Source organism: Homo sapiens, chromosome 18 (genome assembly GCF_000001405.40).
Source record: "Homo sapiens chromosome 18, GRCh38.p14 Primary Assembly".
Lineage (NCBI taxonomy): Eukaryota > Metazoa > Chordata > Mammalia > Primates > Hominidae > Homo > Homo sapiens.
In genome coordinates, this window is record NC_000018.10 from 21,765,439 (window position 1) to 21,784,311 (window position 18,873).

Sequence of the window (18,873 nt, forward strand, 5' to 3'; positions counted from 1 at the left end):
TTGTAGTCTGAAACATCTCCTTAGTGATAAAGGATTCTTTCTTTCTCTGTGCTGAACTTAAGTTCTAGTTTGTGGATGAGAGCGAGGAAAGAGTTACTGAGATGTGTTCTTACTAATGAAAAAGGGAGCAGAGGGAAAATATATATAATTCGCATTTATTAACGTAGTTGAGATCCATTATCTTGAAGCTATATGTGTTAAATTTGAAGTGTTATTTCCTAATTTATTAGAATATCTTGTAAAATGTTCTGTTCTTATTTTTTTCCCCCAAGGAATAATATTCAAATAAATAAAATTTGTGATTAATCTGAGCATGTGTCCTTGTTTTAATAGGCATCAAGCATGATGGAACCATGTGTGATACCTGCCGCCAGCAACCAATCATTGGCATTCGATGGAAGTGTGCAGAGTGTACAAATTATGATTTGTGCACAGTGTGTTATCATGGAGATAAACATCATTTAAGACATCGCTTTTACCGAATTACTACACCGGGAAGTGAGAGGTAGGGAGAACCCTTTTCTTCTTCAACCGAGGGTTTTTGTTTGTATTCAAGTTATGTACTTCTGGGCCTTAAAAATAGGATTAGCAAATAGCTTCTGACAGTTGGTTTACTAACAGGAGGTACCCAATAGTAGGATAGAAGTGGACCAAATCTGCCATATAACAAGAGAAGAGCTCTTTGAAGATGGAGCTGTCTGTACTTTTCCAAGGTAATCTGGGCTATTCTTTCTCTGGCTTAGAGGGTTAGCACTACTCTACATTTGGAAATACAAGGGTATCCAAAAAGATACCAATTGTTTTCTTCTCACTATGCCTTCTAGTCTGTTAATTGATATCAGATGAATGGTAGGGCTCATTGATTGAGTCAGTAGGCATTTATTAGGACTATACAACATCTACTATGTTTATGGACACTAGAAGATAAATAAGACACATAGTATTCTTAAGGAGTTTACAAATTAAAGGAAATAATGAGTCAGTGATTATCATGTGATGTTTTAGACTGTGTTAGAGATATGTATTAAGTGTCTTAGGAGCAAGGAGAGAGGAGTATTCATTGTTAATGGGGGCGGAGTTTTAGGTAATGGGATCTTCTCATGTAGATACAGATACTGCAAAGGAGCGAGAATCCAGCCAGTCATAGGGAGGCAGCTAGGAGTAGGAGTAGATAAATAGATTTTGGAGTCATACCTCTCTTGGTGTAGATCATAATCGTGCCACTTATTAACTGAGTAATTTTGAACAAGTTGGTTATTTTTGTCTTTTGTTTGCAATTAAAATTAAGGAATAATAAAGACACTGTAAAAATGAATAAGGCTGGGCGGGTGGCTCATGCCTTTAATTCTAGCACTTTGGGAAGCCTGAGGTGGGAGGATTACTTGAGGCCAGGCGTTCAAGACCACCCCGGACAGCATAGTAAGACCTCATCTCTATTAAAATAAGTAAATAAATGAAAAGAATAGAACAATAAAATAAAATTAGGAAAACAAAACAAAAATCTCCAAACCTTTCTGATTATGTGAATGAGAAAGATGTAGAACAATAGGGATACATGGTCTTGGAGAACCAAGCTGGACCAGATACTTGAGTGTAGAATCTTTATCAAGGTTCATAATCTTCTGTAAGTATGTAGTACTGTGAGAACAGGTTAGTGTAGGTAAAATCCAGACCACAGATGTATTTTACCGATACATACATATATTAATCCCTTTTCATACTGCTATGAAGAAATACCCGAGACTGGGTAATTTATAAAGGAAAGAGGTTTAATTGACTTACAGTTCAGCATTGCTGGGGAGGCCTCAGGAAACTTATAATCATGGTGGAAGGGGAAGCAAACACGCCCTTCCTTCTTCACATGGCAGCAGCAAGGAGAAGTGCTGAGCAAAAAAGGGGGAAAGCCCCTTATTAAAATCATCAGGTCTCGTGAGAACTCACTATCAAGAGAACAGCATGGAGGTAACCGCCCCCATGATTAAGTTACCTCCCACTGGGTCCCTCCCTCGACGTGTGGGAATTATGGAAACTACAGTTCAAGATGAGATTTGGGCGGGGACACAACCAAATCATATCAATACAGTACTCTTAAATTTTTGAATAATGGCTATTTTTTTTTTGTTTTTTGAAATGGAGTCTCTCTCTGTTGCCCAGGCTGGAGTGCAGTGGCACAATGTTGGCTCACTGTAACCTCCGCCTCCCAGGTTCACGCCATTCTCCTGCCTCAGCCTCCCGAGTAGCTGGGACTACAGGCGCCCGCCACCACACCCAGCTAATTTTTTGTATTTTTAGTAGAGACAGGGTTTCACCGTGTTAGTCAGGATGGTCTCGATCTCCTGACCTCGTGATCCACCTGCCTTGGCCTCCCAAAGTGCTGGGATTACAGGTGTGAGCCACCATGCCTGGCTGGAATAATGGCTAGTTTTTAAAAACAGGTGATTTCACACAAAAATCTGTTGATGGATTCATAGAACACCCTGCTCCCCCCACTGCCCCCGCCAATACAGAAGACTATCAGTACTGGGCTTACGTTTGTTCTTGGCAACAGTTTGTTGAAGCAATGGAGCCCTTTAGACTGGACCTTTTAGACTGATGATGCTTTTGAGTCAACCAAAGTCCCTGCCATTTCCTGTTATCTTCCCAAGTCTGAGGTCAAGTGCCATTTGCCATTGTAGTGCTGTCTTTCTTGGGCTGTCATTACTCACCTAGAAGCTATAGCGATTTGAGTTTGCCATCTCTACAATAGTGAAGAGTATAGTGATACCCAGATACCCTGAAATGCTTAGACTAGGATCATATGTGGAGTCCATTACATTTTAACTTTTGTGGCCTTGGGCACATTACTTCTTTGAGACTCAGTTTCCTCATTTATAAAGTGGATAATATAGCGGTAACTTTCTCTTAAGGAGTGTAACACACTTTACTCCTATGCAAGTGCTTTTACATATTATATAATAAAAGCTTAGTAAAAGTTAGCTGTGATTATTATTACAGCTACTACTGCCATCATCATCATCACCTGTGGAATATAAAAGGTATTCCTGTATCATGCTATTATGGTAGTAACCAGAACAATGAAGAATCTTTTTACTTTCAAAATAACATTTTTATAATTTTGTTTTAAAAAGTAAATTATTGTTACCTATTTTTATATAAACTTGAAAATAAATAATTTTATTTTTAGGGTTCTGTTAGAGTCTCGTAGGAAATCTAAGAAGATTACAGCCAGAGGAATCTTTGCAGGTGCCAGAGTGGTGCGAGGAGTGGACTGGCAGTGGGAAGATCAAGATGGAGGAAATGGACGTAGGGGAAAGGTACAGTGTTTCTCTGAATTCATTATGTATTCTAGAGTATTATATGTTCAGAACCTTTTTATTACTACTATAAATGAATTTCTTGGTCCATTGTTTTCCATGCCAGTAACAGTTTTTAAAATCTTGATTTCTTTTTTCTCTGGAAGTAAAAAGATTGTTCTTGCTTTTTGTAAGCATTGATGTTCCTTAGAGGGTCATTAGGTAGGTTTTACCTTCCCACCTTCAGGTTTCATATTGTCATTTTGTTACCTAGCATGCTTTTCTGAACGCATTTGGGCCAGTCCCTCCCTAAGCAGTATCTCATGTCCTCAACTTTCCTGCTATTTAAATTTCATTTGAATTGACTTGTTTTATATTCTCTTCCCTCAAAGACCTGTTTCTGAGGCACAGTGGGCAATTATGCTGTTATCGAGCCCACCTACCTCTGTTATCCTTTGCAGATAGCATAGCGGGCTCAGAGTTTTAGGAGTAGGTCAAAGCAGAATATTCTGTGTGGTGAAATGAGAGACCTCAGCTGATCTAGGTGGCAGGGAATGGGGGTGAAGAGGAGAGTGGGAATGTCATCATTACATAGTCCAAATAAGCCAAGTACACTTGGAGAACGTGAGTCAGGCTCACTTGGGCAGTGTATCCACAGTTGAATAAAAACGGTACAGTGGAAGTAGGGATAAGAGCTTTCAACTTGTTTGGCCACCACATATTACACGGCTGCAATCTGGATGGGTCACCTTCCATGCCTGGTGCCCAGCAGTCATCCTGGAAGCGCCCTTTGAAGCCCTGTGATTAACAAAGATGCCTTTGCCTCTTTTCCTGGCTGGATCTCATGTTTTCTGTATCCCATTAGATATCTTACTTAGCTTACTGTCTCTTTTGGTAGGACACACATTCTAGTAACTTCTTTTGAAAGAGTATGTGAGAAGTCAAATTTTAATTGACTGTGTATTTTTCCTCATAGTTAATTATATGGTCAGAGGGGGCTGGAAGTCATCTTTCCTCATCAGCTTTTGAAGGCATTTGCTGTTTGAAGCCACATAAATGGAACTTCCTGGTTTTTTCTGTATTGGCACTTTTTTGGGATAAAAGAAGGCATTCTTGAGGCTTTGAGTCATTCTGTTACATTTTTGGTTTGCTTTGATTTAACACATGTTGTGTTTTAAGAACAAAATGAGGGCCAGGCATGGTGGCTCACGCCTGTAATCCCAGCACTTTGGGAGGCTGAGGCGGGTGGATCATTTGAGGTCAGGAGTTTGAGACTAACCTGGCCAACATGGTGAGACCCTGTCTCCACTAAAAATACAAAAATTAGCCAGGCATGGTGGTACATGCCTATAGTCCCAGCTACCAGGGAGGCTGAGGCAGGAGAATCACTTGAACCTGGGAGGCAGAGGTAGCAGTGAGCCAAGATTGTGCCACTGCACTCCACCCTGGGTGACAGAGTGAGACTCCATCTCAAAACAGACAAACGAAAAGAACAAAATGAAGAAAAAGAAATGAAACCATCTTGTACATGTGACTCCAAGTGAGGGAACTTTATAAAATAAATCTTTAGAGTAACATTGTTAAGCACATTGTTTAAGACCAAGTGTAACTTCTGTTGTCTGACTTTTTTGTTTTGGCCTATGTATGTGAATGAAGAAAGTTAACATCCCTTTTTCCCCTTCAGTGCTGGATGCTTTATCCCACTCCCCTGATGTAACCCACGTTAATTGTATGTAGTGTATTCTTCCTTTTTGTTTTTCTAATATATATTAGAGATGGAGTCTTGCTGTGTTGCCCAGGCTGGTCTCGAACTCCTGGGTTCAAGCGATCCTCCTGCCTCCACCTCCCAAAGTGCTGGGATTACAGGCATGAGCCACCGCGCCCAGCCTATTCTTAAAGGGCTTTTTAAGTCTCACTATACGTGTTAGTCTTTTAAAGCTGTTTGTTTTACAAATATGATTAAGTATACTAGATCATATTTGTTTTTTTGTTAAGCTCTTTATTATGGAGTATTTCAGACATACACTTGAGTAGAAAGTATAGTATAATAAATTCCCATGCACTCATACCCAACTTCAACAATTATTAACTTAAAAAAATACCATTTATTTGTTGAAGAAACCAGATTCTATTTGGCCAATTGATTCTTTATAGTATTCTTTAACTTCTTTAACTTGTTCTTTTAATCTTTGTATTTCCTATAAATTAGTTGTTAGATCTAGAGGCTTGATTAGATAGATTCAGGTTCAATTTTATTTTGGCAAACATACCTCATATGTGATGCTGTGTATTTTCTATTGTATCATATAAAGGGGCACATAAAGTCTGATTATTCTGCTATTAGTGATGTTAAGATTGATGAACAGGTGCAAATTTTGTCAGATGTATCCTTTACAGAGTTTCTTGGCAACATTATACCTAATGGTTTTAACAGCTGTTCCTTACATGTGAAATTACTGTAGTTATTTTCTTATGCCCTCCACTTTGTTTCCTCCTCAATAATAAATCAAGTCATATTAACAAATGAAGGAATTTCATTTAATGATTTGGAGCTTGACTAATGAACTTACTTCTATTTCAAGTAATTTGAAATTTAAAGTAAATTTGATTTAAAATTTGTCTTTGTTTTTTAGCTAGCCAAATGCTTTTTTACTCATCCTATAAAATACAGACTTAATATAGCATCACATTTTTTAAAACAAATGAAGTTGAATCTGAATATATTAGAATCAGAAGGAACTTTTTGCTACAGATTGCATGTTTTACCTTCGAGTGCTAGAAACTGTTACTTTAGAAGGTTATGTAGTGGTTAGTTGAGCAGGAATCATAAAGCAAATTAAGGTAAATGGTGGACTCTTAACTTCAGGATGGTAGTTACCTCTAATGGAAGGCAGGAGGATGGGATTGATGAGATGGACATAGGGGACTTGAAAAGTACTGGTTCTATTTTTTTTCTTAGGTTGGGTAATAATTACATGGGTGTTCAGTTTATTTTTTTATTCCTTAAAGTTTACATATGCTTTGGGAGGCTGAGGTAGGCAGATCACAAGATCAGGAGTTTGAGACCAGCCTGGCCAACATGGCGAAACCCCATCTCTACTTAAAAAAAAAAACGAAAATTAGCCGGGCATGGTGGTGGGCACCTGTAATCCCAGCTACTTGGGAGGCTGAGGCAGGAGAACCACTTGAACCGGGGAGGCGGAGGTTGCAGTGAGCCGAGATCGTGCCATTGCACTCCAGCCTGGGTGACAAGAGCAAAAAAAAAAATTTACATATGCTGTATTTTATAATGTGTAATGTATTTCAAAATTTAAAAGAGTAAATGGACTAAATTACTAACAATTTAAAATATGTTTCAAGTGATTCATTAGATCTTAAACATAAAACCTTTTTATTTCCACAAATATATCATAAAATACCTGGCTTACAAAACTATTTAGTACAGGATGAAAAAGAATGGTCATTATATATCTTATTTAAAGTAATAGTTTTTAAGTGTATACCTTGAAAGTTATACTTCAGCCTGTCATTCTAAGTAACTATGAAGGATGGCTGTGATTGTAAGTATCAAGATGGAGAAGAGTAATCTGAATTGCATGTGTGCAGCTTCCCACTCTTTGCTGTAGTCAGGTTTACTTGAGAAGGTCCAAGTTTAATGCTGTTTGTCATTTTTGTGTACAGGTTGAACATTCCAAATAAAAAAATCTGAAACCTGAAATACTCCAAAATATGAAACTTCTTGAACACTGACATGGTGCTCAAAGGAAATGCTCATTGGAGCATTTAGAATTTCAGATTTTTGGATTTGGGATGCTCTAAGTACAGTGCAAATATTTCAAAATCTGAAAAAATTTGAAATCTAAAACATTTCTTGTCCTAAGCATTTCAGATAAGTAAACTCAACCTGTATGTGATTCTAGGCCTTAAAGCAATGGCAACCCCAGTATATATATATATTTTTTAATCCAGTGAATTCAAGAATCAGACTAGTTGGGTGTGGGGCTTGGAGATGTTGTCTGGGTTTCCATGGTAGGCATGCCATTTTAGCTTAGGTGGCCTGCAACTGCGGGATACTGTTGGAGGAGCAAAAGCAACTCAAGACCTACTTGAACATTGCCACCAAGGCTCTTCAAGAGCTTTGTGCTTGTTAATTTTTAGTTGACCAAAAAGGTTTATCTTGAATCATTTTGGGTATTTTACAGAGATTTTAAATTTCATATTGAGTAATGGGCTTAAAAGAATATACTGTTCTTGCCGGGCGTAGTGGCTCACACCTGTAATCCCAGCACTTTGGGAGGCCTAGACGGGCAGATCACCTGAGGTCAGGAGTTCGAGACCAGCCTGGCCAACATGGTGAAACCCCATCTCTACTAAAACTACAAAAATTAGCCAGGCGTGGTGACAGGCACCTGTAATCTCAGCTACTCAGGAGGCTGAGGCAGGAGAAGCTTGAACCCGGGAGGCGGAGGTTGCATTGAGCCAGGATCGCACCACTGCACTCCAGCCCGGGCGACAAGAGCGAGATTCCATCTCAAAACCAAAAACCAAAAAACAAAAAACTGTTCTTAAAGGAATCTCTTTAAGAATAAAAATATTTTAAATTTTCTATCAAATTCTATTTTCTGATAATCTATCACTGTAATCCCCAAGCCTCTTGATTTAAAAATTTCTACAGAGGTTTTAGAAATTACCTTATAATTCTGGAAAAATATGGCTCTAATGATAATTTAACTATGTTAGCAGTGACATATTTGGCAAATAAGTATTTTTCATGATCCTGTTACACAGGTTGCTAGATGAAATGATTTTTAAGATTTAAATGTAATAATTAAAAGAACTAAGCTCTTCCCTCCCCTTTAAAAAACTTCTTTTCTCAAAAACTATTCTGTTAGGTAACAGAAATCCAGGACTGGAGTGCATCAAGCCCACATAGCGCAGCATATGTCCTCTGGGATAATGGTGCTAAGAACCTTTACAGAGTTGGCTTTGAGGGCATGGTAAGTAGTGAAGAGCCATAGCAGGTGAAAGAAAATGTTGGATGGGTGAATAGCTCTTACTGCTCTTTTATTATTTTTCCTTTGTCATCTCCCTTTGTCAGAACCTTTACGTTTTTACTATGTTTCTCTAAACTATTTAATAGTAAATATGATTTGCCTTTAGTTTAATGTTTGAGTACCTTACTATATATTGGTGGTGTAGAGGTGACCCATTTTCAGTGTAAGTCCAGGGGGTTTATTTACGAAAATCTATCAAAAAGATTGGGAATCATCTGTAAGACCATTCCTTGACGTGGATGGACCTGGAAGACGGTATTATAATGAGGTTTTGTGATATATTTGTATTCTGTGCTCTGGTAGCTTATATAAAAGTATAAATTACAACAAATATTAAAATTATTTTTTAGGAGATTCCTCTCCACCCCTTGGTATTTTTTAAAGTATAGTGTTGATAATTGAAAATGATTGACTTAGAAACACCTTGAATTACTTAAGTGTTTAGAAAAATAATGGAGGTTTATTCAATGAGTTGTCCTATGTTTTTGTATTTCATGGACCATTGTTCAAGCGCTGATCTTGGCTGGGCACGGTGGCTCACGCCTGTAATCCCAGCACTTTGGGAGGCCCAGGTGGGTGGATCACTTGAAGTCAGGAGTTTGAGATCACACTGGCCAACATGGTGAAACCCTGTCTTTACTAAAATACAAAAATTAGCCGGGTTTGATGGCATGTGCCTGTAATTCCAGCTATTTGGGAGGCTGAGGCACGAGAATCACCTGAACCACGAGGGTCGGGGTGCAGAGCTTTCAATGAGCCGAGATCACGCCATTGTACTCCAGCCTAGGTAATGGAGTGAGACTGTATCTCAAAAAAAGTTGATCTTGCTATTTAATGTATAGAGTATAATAAATAAATGCCAAAATATTAATGCCTTTCACATCCTTTTCATTTTGAATACATTCCGTATTCAAAGAATTCTTTACATTTCCTTTTTAAAAATCAACTGTCTATGTTCTTGTTAGGAATGGAGGAAGTATCCCAGTGTCCCCTTAATTTATTTCCATTTATTTATTTATTTTTTATATTTATTTATTTATTTTTTGAGGCAGAGTCTCGCTGTGTCTCCCAGGCTGGAATGCAGTGGCCTGAATGAATGGAGAAAGTATCCCAGTGTCCCCTTAATTTATTTCCATTTTATTTATTTATTTATTTATTTATTTATTTATTTATTTTTTGAGACACAGTCTCGCTGTGTCGCCCAGGCTGGAGCACAGTGGCCTGATCTTGGCTCACTGCTAGCTCCACCTCCCGGGTTCATGCCATTCTCCTGCCTCAGCCTTCCTAGTAGCTGGGACTGTAGGCGCCCACCACCACGCCCGGCTCATTTTTTGCATTTTTAGTAGAGACGCGATTTCACTGTGTTAGCCAGGATGGTCTTGATCTCCTGACCTCGTGATCCACCTGCCTCGGCCTCCCAAAGTGCTGGGATTACAGGCGCGAGCCACCACGCCTGGCCTTATTTATTTTTAGAGACAGGGTCTTGCTCTGTCACTCAAGCTGGAGTGCAGTGGTGCAATCATAGTTCACTGAAGTCCTGAACTCCTGGGCTCAAACAAACCTCCCACCTCAACCTCTGGAGTAGCTAGGACTGTAGGCGTGTGCCACCATGCCCAACTAATATTAAAAAATTTTTAGTAGAAATAGGGTCTTGCTATATTGTCCACACTGGTTTTGAACTCCTGAGTTCCAAGCGATCCCCCACCTTGGCCTTCCAAAATGCTGAGACTACTAGCATGAGCTACTACAGCTGACCAATTCATGCCACTTATATATTAAAAGCCAGCCATGTGAATTTAAACAAATACTTTAGTTGCCAATTTTTATTATTGTATATAGCAGTGATTATCAGCTTTTCATTTTCTTCATGCCTCTGCCTGTTTTTAAATTGTCAATTTTTTAGGATTCCAACTGATTGTTAATTTTCTTCAAATGAAGCCTGTGTGCTATATGTGCTCAGGTACTTAAATGAATGGTATTTATATAGATTGATGGCCGAGTATGTTGTTGTGCCATTATTTATTTAATGAGATCTCTTGATGGGTACCTGGGTTGGATTTTGTTTCCCCTACTGCTTCAAGCAGTGTGTCAGTAAGCATCCTTGTGTATATGCCTTTGTACATTATGGGTATATTTCCTTAGGATAGATTCCTAGAAGTAAAATTGCTGGGGTAGGGTAGTATATTAAAACAATTTGACAGCTGGGAGGGGTGGCCCACACCTGTAATCCCAGCACCATGGGAGGCTAAAGCAGGTAGATCACTTGAGTCCAGGAGTTTGAGACCAACCTGGGCAATGTGGCAAAACCACATCTCTACAAACAATAAAAAATGTTAGCTGGGTATGGTGGTTTGCACCTGTAGTCGCAGTTACTTGAGAGGCTGAGGTGGAAGTAGAAGGATCACTTGAGCCCTAGGAGGTCGAGGCTGCAGTGAGCCGTGATCGTGCACTCCAGCCTGGGCAACAGAGAGAGACCCTGTCTCAAAAAAAAAAAAAAAAAATCCCAAAAAACCAATTTGACACCTATGTCTCTTTGGCCAGGATTCAATGACAGTAAAAGATGCTATAAAAGAGTTGGGTACTGTGTGAGTGTGCGTGTGTGTGCACATGCATGTGCATACCTGCAGGTGCACATGTGCATCTGTATTAGAGGAGCTCCTTTCCTTGATAGGGTAAGATGTTCTAATCATCTACTATATACACCTGTACTATTAGGCACTTTTAAGTAAATCCACATCTAAATTTTCACAGTATACACAAGGTTCTTCCTCTAAGCCCACATTTTCTGTACTTTTAATTATACCACAGCTACCTCCCCCATTCAGATACTTAGTAATTTGTTTCCTTGTAAAAGATAAGTGGGAAGGAATGTTAGTTAACCAGGTTATGGCGAAGTAAGGACTAAAGTTGATGTAAGGCCGGGTGCAGTGGCTCACGCTTGTAATCCCAGCACTTTGGGAGGCTGAAGTGGGCAGGTCACTTGAGGTCAGGCGTTCGAGACCAGCCTGGCCAGCATGGTGAAACCTCGTAAAAATACAAATATTAGTTGGGTGTGGTGGCATATGCCTGTATTCCCAGCTACTGGGGAGGCAGAGGCAGGAGAATTGCTTGAACCCAGGAGGTGGAGGTTGCAGTGAGCCGAGATCCCGCCACTGCACTCCAGCCTGGGTGACAGAGCGAGACTCCATCTCAAAAAAAAAAAATTGATGTAAATAGGAAAATTAGCTGGACAAGGAATCAAAAGACTGTATTTGGTTTTGTTATTTTTTACTTTGTATTGGCTATTAGTTTTGAATAATTTCCAGGTTTTGGTTTGTTTTTGGTAAAAGTATCTTTAAAATGGAATGTGCTGGCCCGGCGTGGTGGCTTATGCCAGTAATCCCAGCACTTTGGGAGGCTGAGGTGGGTGGATTACTTGAAACCAGGAGTTTGAGACCAGCCTGGCCAAAGTGGTGAAACCCTGTCTGTACTAAAAATGCAAAAATTAGCCAGGCGTGGTGGTGCATGCCTGTAATACCCAGTTGCTCAGGTGACTGAGGCATGAGAATCGCTTGAACCCAGGAGGCGGAGGTTGCAGTGAGTCACTTTACTCCAGCCTGGGCAACAGAGCAAGACTCTGTCACACACACACAAAAAAGAATGTGCTGTGCACATTTCCAATAATAGATATTTGTTGTCCTTTTTTAACATGTGTTTTTCAAACTATTATAATTATTTATTAATTATAAGCATTTTAGTCTAATGTAATAAGATTCAGACATTTTATTTTATTTATTTATTTTTTGAGACAGAGTCTCCTTGCTCTGTTGCCCGGGCTGGAGTGCAGTGGCGTGACCTCAGCTCACTGCAACCTCTGCCTCCCGGGTTCAAGCGATTCTCCTGCCTCCACCTCCTGAGCATCTGGGATTACAGGTGTCCAGCAGCACACATGGCTAATTTTTTTTGTATTTTTAGTGGAGACGGGGTTTCACCATGTTGGCCAGGCTGGTTTTGAACTCCTGACCTCAAGTGATCCGCCCATCTTGGCCTCCCAAAGTCCTAGGATTACAGGCGTGAGCCAACGTGTACAGCCAGATTCAGACATTCTAATTTTGAGCTTTAAAAGAATGCTGAAAGTAAATAAAATATGACCTATCTGAAGATCAGGTTTCTAGTTTTTACAAGTACTTTTGAAAGCAGTGTTTAGTGTGATTGTTGACCTAGACTGTTCTTGATTTCTGTTTTGGGTATGTTCTGAATGAATATTCTTGCCTGTTTCAGATACTGAGCCATATTTGAAGTTTCATGGGTGATTTTTCTGGTTTCTTTTCTTCTTAGTCTGATCTGAAATGTGTCCAGGATGCCAAGGGAGGTTCTTTCTACAGAGATCACTGCCCTGTGCTAGGTGAGTGAGAAGATTAGAGAGTATTACTAAATAATGGGTCAGAGTTCGTGGAATCAGTAAAATGCTTAAATTGGATGTTAGAAAAGTTAATTACCACTAAAGTTACTTAGAGAAAAAATTTTTTGGCTTTCCTTTGGTCTTAAAGTATTTTTTCTTTTATTATGCTTTATTTGGACTCAGAGTTGTCATGTCTTGAGAATTCATTGGCCATTTATGTCATAATATACATTTGAAACTTTTATGTTTTAACTGCAAATTATATTGTTGAAAAATTTTGCATTAGATTACAACAATTGTATGTTATACACTATTGAGAATAGGATTTGACACTTTTGTGCTTAAAAATTCCTTAGAATTTTTGTCAAATTGTCTTCCTAAGTACAGCTCCAAGATTAAGATAATATATGTAATTTCATGTATCATTAAAATAAAAAAAAGGGAACAAGAAAACCAAAACTACCTTCATTTTGTAGATTTATTGTTGCCTGGATGAACATTTACCACACTCTCCTGATCTTTATTCTCTGAATGGTTTTCTTTCTCATGTGAACTGTGTTTCTCCTTCCAAATCATTTGACTTGCCTTTGTCGCAAAAAGTGCTGTTTTTTTTGCAGTATACCTTAATTTTTTTTTAAAAAAGGAGAATGCATAAAAAAATTTACATTTTTTAATGAGCTCATCTATCTTGCTTTCACAAAACAAGCTTTCTTGTTTTGTGTTTTGCTTTCATAAGAAAAATGCAAAATCAACATGCATATTTTGGATCTCAGTATAGTGTTTCATGATCATGAATTCATCTCAGAACTAGCTTTTGAAAATAATCTAGGGAATAAGCTTTGACATATTTTAAAAAGCTCTTTAGGGCAAGAATCACAGGAACCATTTGTTAAAATAAGATAGTACTAAGCACTTAATGGAAAAAATAATTCCAGGGCTTTCATTCATATTCTCTAGTTAGTTATTGTGGTTCTAATGCAGTGATAGTAAGTTATCCAGGCATAAAAGTGAGTATTTTCAACACCTGGAACTTTGTGTTCTGATACAAGGTTGAATAGTCTTTTATAGACTCTACTTTTACTCAGTCTTTGTTATAACTCATATTATTTCAATTTTTGAGTCTGTTTGGCTTTTTTCTTTTTTTAAAAAAAGCTTTCTAGTTCTAAAATTTTATACTTATAGGGAATTCTCAAGACCTTTTAAAACTAGATGGTACCTGAAACTAAAATATCTACATGTTATTTAAAGATAATGCAGCTGCCTGTTGTTGTGAGGTTTTTTTCTCCCTTTATTCAATTGCCTCTGAAATTACAGGTGAGCAGAATGGCAACAGGAATCCTGGTGGATTGCAGATTGGTGACCTGGTAAATATAGATCTCGACCTCGAAATTGTACAGTCTTTGCAGCATGGTCATGGAGGATGGACTGATGGAATGTTTGAGACTTTAACTACAACTGGAACTGTTTGTGGCATTGATGAAGATCATGACATTGTAGTACAGTATCCAAGTGGCAATAGGTGGGTGATATCTCTCAATTTTTGACAATGACAAATAAAACTAATATAGAGAAAAGTCTTAGAGAAAGCAAATAAAGTGATACAACCAAATACTCATTAAAGCTAGCTTTTAGATGGTAAGTAAAAATCCAGAATATATATTGGTAAGGTGGAGAGAAACAAATGATAAGAATTACGTGTGTGTGTGTGTGTGTGTGTGTGTGTGTCTTGTGTGTGTATGTGAATTTATATGAGGATGTTTATGATACAGTGTTCTGTACACTATTTTTCCTTCAAGAGGAGAATACATTATATCACTATTAGGTCTGAATACAGCTTAAAAGTTCTGTGTTCGTATTGGACTATATCAGTCTACCCTGAATAGGAAGGGTTTTACATTAAAACTCCTTTGGTGCATATCTCCAGGGTCATCTCTTATTTTTTGTTTTTATTGATACACAAGAGGTGTACATATTTTGGGATACATGTGATATTTTCATCCATGCATACAATGTATAATGATCAAACAGGCAATTGGGGCAACCATCAGTATTAACATCACCCCTTCTTTACATTGGGAACATTCCAGTTCCTCTCCCCAGCTGTTCTGAACTATACAAGTTGTTAACTATAGTCGCCCAACTGTACTATCAAACATTAGATTTTTTTCCCCGTATCTAGCTGTAGTCTTGTACGCATTTACCATCTCACTCATCCCCCCCTTTCTCCTACTGTTCCCAGCCTCTGGTAACCACCAATCAACTTTCTATCTCCATGAGATCCACATTTTACATCTCCTCATATGAGTGAGAACATGTGGTATTTGTCTTTCTGTGTCTGGCTTATTTCACTTAACATAATGACCTCCAGTTCCATTCATGTTGCTGCAGATGACAGGATTTCATTCTTTTTATAGCTGAGTAATACTCCTTTGGGTATATGTACCTCCTGTTCTATTCTATTTTTAGAGAAGGGGTCTCATTGTATTGCCCATGCAGGTCCTGAACTCCTGGTCTCAAGTGATGTTTCTCCCCTGGCCTCCCAAAGTGTTGGGATTACAGGAATGAGCCACCATACCCGGCCCACATTTTCTTTATCCTTTCAATCTATTTATGAACACTTAGGTTGATTTCATGTCTTGGCTATTGTGGATAGTGCTGCAGTAAACATGGGAGTACAAATCTCTCTTTGACATACTGATATTCTTTCTTCTGGGTATATATACACCCAGCAATGGGATTACTGGATCATATGGTAGTTCTGTTTTTAGTTTTTTGAGGAACCTCCATACTGTTTCTCATAGTGGCTGTACTAATTTAAAGTCCCACCAACAGTCTACAGGTGTTCCCCTTTTCGTGTGTTCTTGTCAGCATCCGAAAAGCCATTTTCTTTTTTTCTCTTTTTAAAAATTTAAATTAAAAACTTTTTTTATAGTAGAGATAGGGTCTTGCCATATTGCCCAGGCTGGCGCTGAACCCCTGGCCTCAAGTGATCCTCCCACTTTGACCTCCCAAAGTGCTGGGGGCTTGAGCCACCTCGACTGGCCAGTAAAAGCAACAGTAGTTTGAGAGGATTGATATTTGTTCTTTAAATGTTTGGTAGAATCTGGCATTGAAACCATCAGGCCCTGGGGCTTTTCTCTGATGGGAGATATTTTTATTACTTCTTTGATCTTGTTACTCATTATTGGTCTGTTCAAGTTATATATATATATATATATATATATATATATATATATATATATATATATAAAATTATTATTATTATTTTTTGAGATGGGGTCTCCCTCTGTCACCCAGGCTGGAGTGGCACGATGTCAGCTCATTGCAACCTCCGTCTCCCAGGTTCAAATGATTCTCTTGCCTCAGCCTCCCAAGTAGCTGGGATTATGGGCATGTGCCACCACACCCAGCTAAATTTTGTATTTTTTAATAGAGATGGGGTTTCACCATGTTGGCCAGGCTGATCTTGAACCCCTGACCTCAAGTGATCCGCCCACCTTGGCCTCCCAAAGTGCTGAGATTACAGGTGAGCCACCGCCCCTGGCCAGGGTTGATACTTCTTCATGTCTCAATCTTGGTAGGTTGTTTATGTCCAATAATTTATCTATTTCTTCTAGATTTTTCAATTTGTTGGTATATAGATGTTCATGATATTCTGTCATGATCCTTTACATTTCTGTGGTATCATTTATGTCCCCATTTTTGTTTCTGATTTTATTTGGGTCTTCTGGTTTTATCTTAGTTGGTCTACCTAAAGATTTGTTGATTTTGTTTATCTTTTGAAAAATCCAGCTTTTCATTTTGTTGATATTTTCTCTTTTTATTGTCTCAATTTCATTTATTTCTGCTGATCTTTATTACTTCTTCCTTCTACTATTGGATTTGCTTTGTTTTTGCTTTTCTAGTTCCTTGAGCTGTATTGTTAGGTTATTTGAAATCTTCCTACTTTTTAAATTATTATTATTATTTTTTTGAGACGAAGTTTCGCTCTTGTTGCCCAGGCTGGAGTGCAATGGCGCGATCTCAGCTCACTGCAACCTCTGCCTTCTGGGTTCAAACGGTTCTCCTGCCTCAGCCTTCCCGAGTAGCTGGGATTACAGTCATGTGCCACCACGCCCAGCTAATTTTGTATTTTTAGTAGAGATGGGGTTTCTCCATGTTGGTCAGGCTGGTCTTGAACTCCTGACCTCCCGTGATCCGCCCACCTTGGCCTCCCAAAGTACTGGGATTATAGGCATGAACCACTGCATCTGGCGTTAAATTATTGATCAGGTGTTTATTGCTATAGATATCCCTCTTACTACTGCTTTTTCTGTATTTCATGGATTTTGATATGTTGTGTTTCCATTTTCATTTGTTTCAAGAAATTTTAAAATTTCCTTCTTAATTTCTTTATTGACGCTTTCATTGTTCAGGATAATGTTTAATTTCTTTCTAGTGTTATTGCATTGTGGTCAGAAAAGATACTTTATACCATTTCAACTTTTTTGAATTTAGTGAGACTTGTTTTGTGGCCCAATATGTGGTCTCTTTTGGAGAATGTTCCTCGTGCTGATGAGAACAGTGTGTATTCTATGGCAGTTGGATGAAGTATTCTGTAAGTGTCAATTATGTATATTTGGTTTGGATTGTAGTTTAACTTTGATGTTTCTTTGTTGATTTTCTCTCTAGTTGATGATCTGTTCATTACTGAAAGTTAAATGTTGAAATGTCCCCTACTGTTAAAGATATTGCAGTGTATCTTTCCCTTTAGATCTATTGATGTTTGTGTTTTATATTTGGTTGCTCCAGTGTTGAGTGCATATATAATTGTTATATCCTTTTGCTGAATTGACCACTTTATTATTATACAGTGACTTTTGTCTGTTTTTACAGTCTTTAACTTAAAGTCTATTTTATCTGATATAAAAGTATAATTATTCCTGCTCTTTTTTGGTTTCCATTTGTGTGCAATATCTTTTTCCATCCCTTCACTTTCAGTCTGCATGTGTCTTTATAGGTGAAATGAATTTCTTGTAGGGAGCACAGGGTTGGGTCATTTAAACAATTTTCTTTTACCCATTCAGCCACTCTATGCCTTTTTTTTTTTTTCTTGAGATGGAATCTTACTCTGTCGCCCAGGCTGGAGTGCAGTGGGACGATATTGGCTCACTGCAACCTCCGCCTCCCGGGTTCAAGCAATTCTCCTGTCTCAGCCTTCCGAGTAGCTGGGACTACAGGTGCCCTCCACCAAGCCCAGCTAATTTTTGTATTTTTAGTAGAGATGGGGTTTCACCATATTAGTCAGGCTGGTCTCTAACTCCTGACCTCAGGTGGTCCTCCCGCCTCAGCCTCCCAAAGTACTGGGATTACAGGTGTGAGCCGCTGTGCCCGGCCTCACTCTATGTCTTCTAGTTGGAGAATTAGTTCATTTACATTCATTGTTGTTATTGATAGGTAAAGATTTACTACTGCTATTTTTGTTACTTGTTATTTGGTTGTTTTGTAACTCGTCTCTTCCTTTTTTTTTTCTTGCCCTCTTCCTTTGTGGTTAGGTGATTTTCTTTGGTAGTACGTTTTAATGTGTTTTTTAAATAAATTTTATCATTTTTTGTTTTTGAGACAAGGTCTCACTCTGTCATTCAGGCTGTAGTGCAGTGACATGATCATGGCTCACTGAAGCCTTGAACTCCTGGCTTCAAGCAGTCCTTCCACTTTAGCCTTCCAAGTGGCTGGAACTACAGGTGCACACCACCATGGTCATTAAAAATTTTTTTTGTAGAGATGGGGTCTTACGATGTTGCCCAGGCTGGTCTTGAACTCTTTGCCTCAGGCAATCCTCCTGCCTCACCCTCCCACAATATTGGGGTTACAGGTGTGAGCCACTGCACCCAGCCTGTGTTGCTTTTTTTTTTTTTTTTTGATACGGAGTCTCGCTATGTCACCAGGCTGGAGTGCAGTGGTGTGATCTCGGCTCACTGTGACCTCCGACTCCCTGGTTCAGACAATTCTCCTGCCTCAGCCTCCCGCGTAGCTGGGACTACAGGCGCGTGCCACCACACCCAGCTAGTTTTTGTATTTTTAGTAGAGAGGGGGTTTCACCATGTTGGCCAGGCTGGTCTGGATCTCCTGACCTCGTAATCCGCCCTCCTCGGCCTCCCAAAGT

At 38.8% G+C, this 18,873-nt stretch overlaps 1 protein-coding gene across 5 annotated transcripts in view; it reads left to right on the plus strand.

Annotated features, from left to right (window-relative positions):
- The window catches only part of MIB1 (MIB E3 ubiquitin protein ligase 1), a 166,038-nt gene that overhangs the window by 60,523 nt on the left and 86,642 nt on the right, over window positions 1-18,873 (plus strand). For all 5 annotated transcript variants that reach the window (XR_007066203.1, XM_047437676.1, NM_020774.4 and 2 more), the window contains exons 2-6: window positions 334-505; window positions 3,185-3,314; window positions 8,186-8,290; window positions 12,665-12,731; window positions 14,043-14,247. Coding sequence is in view for 4 of the 5 variants with exons in the window: in NM_020774.4 (NP_065825.1) it covers window positions 334-505; window positions 3,185-3,314; window positions 8,186-8,290; window positions 12,665-12,731; window positions 14,043-14,247 (679 nt within the window). In the remaining variant the exon portion in view is untranslated. The remainder of the gene's footprint in view (window positions 1-333; window positions 506-3,184; window positions 3,315-8,185; window positions 8,291-12,664; window positions 12,732-14,042; window positions 14,248-18,873) is intronic.